General features: G+C 42.2%; 1 annotated feature.

The window, feature by feature from the left end:
• Positions 4,330 to 4,831: an enhancer, noted in NCBI's record as "H3K4me1 hESC enhancer chr8:54554567-54555068 (GRCh37/hg19 assembly coordinates)". NCBI's record gives its function as "activates a minimal SCP1, AML or CMV promoter by ChIP-STARR-seq in naive H9 embryonic stem cells {active_cell/tissue: H9 hESC(naive)}" and the evidence as "EXISTENCE:reporter gene assay evidence [ECO:0000049][PMID:30033119]".

The following is a 5,877-nucleotide window of genomic DNA, read 5'->3' on the forward strand; positions in this document are numbered from 1 at the left end:
TTAATTAGATCCCATTTGTCAATTTTAGCTTCTGTTGCAATTGCTTTTAGCGATTTCATCATAAAATCTTTGCCTATGCTTCTGTCTTCAATGGCACTGTCTAGCTTTTCTGCTAGGGTTTTTATGGTTTGGGGCTTTATATTTAAGTCTTTAATCCATCTTGAGTTAATTTTTGTATAAGGTGTAAGGAAGGGGTCCAGTTTCGGTTTTCTGCATATGGCTAGCCAGTTTTCCCAGCACCGTTTGTTAAATAGGGAATCCTTTCCCCATTTTGCTTGTTTTTGTCAGGTTTGTTGAAGATCAGAGGGTTGTAGATATGTGGTCTTATATCTGAGGTCTATATTCTGTTGCATTGGTCTATGTGCCTGTTTTGGTACCAGTACCCTGCTGTTTTGGTTACTGTAGCCTTGTAGCATAGTTTGAAGTTGGGTAGCATGATGACTCCAGTTTTGTTCTTTTTGCTTAGGATTGTCTTGGCTATGTGGGCTCTTTTTTGGTTTTATATTAATTTTAAAGTGGTTTTTTCCAATTCTGTGAAGAATGCCAATAGTAGCTTGATTGGAATAGCATCGAATCTATAAATTATTTTGGGCATTTTCACAATATTGATTCTTTCTATCCATGAGGATGGAATGTTTTTCCATTTGTTTGTGTCCTCTCTTATTTCCTTGAGCATTGGTTTGTAGTTCTCCTTGAAGAGGTCCTTCACATCCCTTGTTAGCTGTATTCCTAGGTATTTTATTCTCTTTGTGCAATTGTGAATGGGAGTTCATTCACGATTTGGCTCTCTGTTTGTCTATTATTGGTGCATAGGAATGCTTGTAATTTTTGCACATCGATTTTGTATCCCGAGACTTTGCTGAAGTTGCCTATCAGCTTAAGAAACTTTGCGGCTAAGATGATGGAGTTTCTAAATATAGTATCATGTCATCTGCAGACAGAGGCATTTTGACTTAATCTCTTCCTATCTGAATACACTTTATTTCTTTCTCATGCCTGGTTGCCAGAACTTCCAACATTACGTTGAATAGGAGTCATGAGAGAGAGCACCCTTTTCTTGTGCTGGTTTTCAAAGGGGATGCTTCCAGCTTGTGCCCATTCAGTATGATATTGGCTGTGGGTTTGTCATAAATAGCTATTATTATTTTGAGATATGTTCCATCAACATGTAGTTTGAGTTTTTAACGTGAAGGGATGTTGAATTTTGTCAAAGGCCTTTTCTGAATCTATTGAGATAATCAAGTGTTTTTTGTCACTGGTTTTGCTTATGTGATGGATTACATTTATTGATTTGTGAATGCTGAACCAGCCTTGCATCCCAGGGATGAAGCCGACCTGATGGTCATGGATAAGCTTTTTGATGAGCTGCTGGCATGAGATGGTATCTCATTGTGGTTTTAATTTGCATTTCTGTAATGATGTGCTGAACTGGGTCCAGTTTGCCAGTATTTTATTGAGGATTTTCTCACTGATGGTCATCAGAGATATTGGCCTGAAGTTTTCTTTTTTTGTTGTGTCTCTGCCAGGTTTTGTTATCAAGTTGATGCTAGCCTCATAAAATAAGTTAGGGAGGAGTTCCTCCTTTGCAATTGTTTGGAATCATTTCTGAAGGAATGGCACCAGCTCCTTTTTGGACCTTTGGTAGAATTTGGCCGTGAATCCATCTGGTCCTGGGATTTTTTCATTGGTAGGCTATTTATTACAGCCTCAATTTAGGAACTCGTTATTGGTCTATTCAGGGATTCGACTTCTTCCTGGTCTTGGGAGGGTGTATGTGTCCAGGAATTTACCCATTTCTTCCAGATTTTCTAGTTTATTTGTATAGAGGTGTTTATAGTATTCTCTGATGGTAGTTTGTATTTCTATAAGGTCAGTGGTGATATCCCCTTTATCATTTTTTATAGCATCTATTTGATTCTTCTCTCTTTTCTTCTTTATTACTCTAGCAAGTGATCTATTTTATTAATTTTTTCAAAAAAACTGCTCCGGGATTCATTGATTTTTTGAAGGATTTTCGTGTCTCTATATCCTTCAGTTTCACTCTGATCTTAGTTATTTCTTGTCTTCTGCTAGCTTTTGGATTGGTTTGCTCTTGCTTCTCTGGTTACTTTAATTGGATTTTAGGGTGTCAATTTGAGATCTTTCTAGCTTTCTGATGTAGGCATTTAGTGCTATAAATTTTGCTCTTAACACCACTTTAGCTGCATCCCAGAGATTCTGATATGTTGCCTCTTTGTTCTCATTGGTTTCAGAGAACTTCTTGATTTCCACCTTAATTTCATTATTTACCCAGGAGTCATTCAGGAACAGGTTGCTTAATTTCCATGTAGTGGTGTTGTTCTGAGTGAGTTTCTTAATACTGAATTCTAATTTGATTGCCCGGTGGTCTGAGAGACTGTTATGATTTCAGTTCTTTTTCATTTGCTGAGGAGTGTTTTACTTCCAATTAGGTGGTCGATTTTAGAGTAAGTGCCATGTGGCACTGAGAAGAATGTATATTCTGTTGTTTTGCAGTGGAGAGTTCTGTAGATATCTATTAGGTCCACTTGATCCAGTGCTGAGTTCAAGTCCTGAATATCCTTGTTAATTTTCTGTCTCATTGATCTGTCTAATATTGACAGTGGGGTGTTAATGTCTCCCACTATTATTGTGTGGGAGTCTAAGTCTCTTTGTAGGTCTCTAAGAATTTGTTTTATAAATCTGAATGCTCCTGTATTGGGTGCATATATATTTAGGATAGGTAGCTCTTCCTGTTGCATTGATCCCTTTACCATTATGTAATGCCCTTCTTTGTCTTTTTTTATTTTTGTTGGTTTATAATCCGTTTTGTCAGAGATGAGGATTGCAAACCCTGCTTTTTTCTGCTTTCCATTTGCTTGGTACATTTTTCTCCATCCCTTTATTTTGAGTCTATGTGTGTCTTTGCACATGAGATGGGTCTCTTGAATACAGCACACTGATGGGTCTCTTGAATACAGCACACTGATGGGTCTGGATTCTATCCAATTTGCCAGTCTGTGTCTTTTAATTGGGGAATTTAACCCACTTACATTTAAGGTTAATATTGTTATGTGTGAATTTGATCCTGTCATCATGATGCTAGCTGGTTATTTTGCACACTAATTGATGCCATTTCTTCATAGTGTCATTGTTCTTTATATTTTCATGTGTTTTGTAGTGGTTGGTACTGGTTTTTCCTTTGCACATTTAGTGCTTCCTTCAGGAGCTCTTGCAAGGCAGGCCTGGTGGTGATGAATTCCCTCAGCATTTGCTTGTCTGAAAAGGATTTTATTTCTCCTTGGCTTATGAAGGTTAGTTTGGCCGGATATAAATTCTGGGTTGAAAATTCTTTTCTTTAAGAATGTTGAATATTGGTCCCCACTCTCTTCTGGCTTGTAGGATTTCTGCTGAGAGATCTGCTATTAGTCTGATGCGCTTCCATTTGTAGGTGACCTGGCCTTTCTCTCTGGCTGCCCTTAACATTTTTTCCTTCATTTTGACCTTGGAGAATCTGATGATTATGTTTCTTGGGGGAGTATCTTAGTGGTGTTCTCTGGATTTCTTGAATTTGAATATTGGCTTATCTTGCTAGGTTGAGGAAGTTCTCCTGGATAATACCTTGAAGTATGTTTTCCAACTTGCTTCCATTCTCCCCATCTCTTTCAGGTGCTCCTATCAGTCATAGGTTTGGTCTTTTTACATAGTCCCATATTTCTCAGAGGGTTCATTCGTTTCCTTTCATTCTTTTTTCTCTAATCTTGTCTGCCTGCCTTATTTCAACAAGATGGTTTTCCATCTCTGATATTCTTTCTTATGCTTGATCGATTCAAGCAGCTATTGATACTTGTCTATGATTCATGAAGTTCTCATGCTGCTGCATTTTTCATCTCCATCAGGTTATTTATGTTCCTCTCTAAACTCATTATTCTAGTTAGCAGCTCCTATAACCTTTTATCAAGGTTCTTAGCTTGTTTGCATTGGGTTAGAACATGCTCCTTTACCTCAGCGAAGTTTGTTATTACCCGCCTTCTGAAGCCTACTTCTGTCAGTTTGTCCATCTCGTACTTCATCCAGTTCTGCACTCTTGCTGGAGAAGTGTTGTGATCATTTGGAGGAGAAGAGGCATTCTGGCCTTTCGGGTTTTCAGCATTTGTTCGTTGTTTCTTTCTCATCTTCATGACTTTGTCTAGTTTCAATCTTCGAGGCTGCTTGCATGAGGTTTTTATGGCGACTTTTTTTGTTGATGTTGTTGTTGCTTTCTGTTTGTTTGTTCTTCTTTCAATAGGGAAGTCTCTCTTCTGTAGGGCTGCCACGGTTTGCTGGGGATTCACTTCAGGCCCTATTCATCTGGTTCACTCCCACACCTGGAGATGTCACTCAAGAAGGCTGGAGAACAGCAAAATGGGTGCCTGCTTCTTCCTCTGAGATCTCTGACCTTGAGGGGCGCTAAACTGATGCCAGTAAGAATGCTTCTGTATAGGATGTCTGACAGCCCCTGTTGGGGGGTCTCACCCAGTTGGGTGGCACAGGAAGCAAGATCCATTTAACAAAGCACTTTGGCTGTCCCCTGGTGGAGGGGGTGTGCTGCGTTGTGGGGAAACCTACGCATCTGGGCTGCCCGGATTCCTCAGAGCTAGCAGGAGGAAAGACTAAGTCGGCTGGTCCGCTGAGCCCCTCCCGCTAGGGGCTCAGGCCCAAGGAGATCAGAGTTTTGTCCCTGAGTCCCTGGCTGGAGTTGGAGCTCCTGCAAAGAGGCCCTGCAGCCCCACTGTTGGCTGCCGCCCCTCCCCCAAGGAGTTCGGGATGGCTTAGACCACAGGCAGTGCAGCTGTGGTGTTGGGCGCCCCTCCATTCGGGGAACTAGGCAGGCTGAGGCCAATTCTAGCCCAGAGGCTGATGAGAATCTCTGCGGCTCTGTGGTTGAGACCCAAGGGCCCGATAACATGGGCTCCCACGTGGGATATTCTGATCCGTGGGTTGCGCAGTTCCATGGAAAAAGCAGGGCTTCCCAGGCTGGGTAGCACGCTCACTCGCGGCCTCCTTTGGCTGAGGGCTCCCTTGCCCTGTGTGGCTCTCAGGTGGGCTGCAGCACCACACTGCTCTTCTTTCCTCTGGGGTCACACCAGCCACCTAGTCAGTCCTGGTGTTAGAAACTGGATACCTTGGTTGCCGGAGCAGGATTCACATACTGTTTTGGATCTTTTCCATGGGAGCGTCTGACCACAGCTGCTTCTAGTCAGCCATCTTGGCCCTGCCCCTCAGTCCTGAATTTTATACTCCTAACTCAACTTCCTTCTGCTCTCCTCTCCCCAAGACCTTTCCAGTAGCCCCTACTCCAAAGCAAATAAACACCAGTAAATCCATTGTCCAAAGTCTTCCGTCCCCTCCTTTTCTCCACTGAGTCCCAACCCCCCTGATAATTCCCCAAACAGGCCTCTGCGTCATTCCTGTGTGTGCGCCAGTGCCCCACAAGCCTGCAGTGGGGGATGCCTGAGCCTTCTCTGTCACTCTCTCTCTCGGGCTGAGACTCCTCCACCCTCAGTGAAAAGCCTTTTTTCTTTTGGGTTCCTGCTATTCACCTATACCACCTCCTCCCTCCACCCCAATTTTTTTTTTTTTTTTTTAGATTGAAGGGGTGGCATGTGCAGGTTTCTTATGTGGGCATATGGAGGAATGCTGAGGTTTGGCCTTCTAATTATCCCATTGTGCCAGTAGGGAACATAGTACCTGACAGACAGTTTTTCAACCCTTGCCCCACTCCCTGCCTCCTCCTTTTAGAGTCCGCAGTGTCTACTGTTTCCATCTTTGTGTCCATGTATAGCCATTGTTTAGCTTGTAAGTAAGGATATGTGGTATTTGTTTTTCTGTTTCTACATT

The sequence above is a fragment of the Homo sapiens genome, chromosome 8 (assembly GCF_000001405.40).
Source record: "Homo sapiens chromosome 8, GRCh38.p14 Primary Assembly".
Classification (NCBI taxonomy): Eukaryota; Metazoa; Chordata; class Mammalia; order Primates; family Hominidae; genus Homo; species Homo sapiens.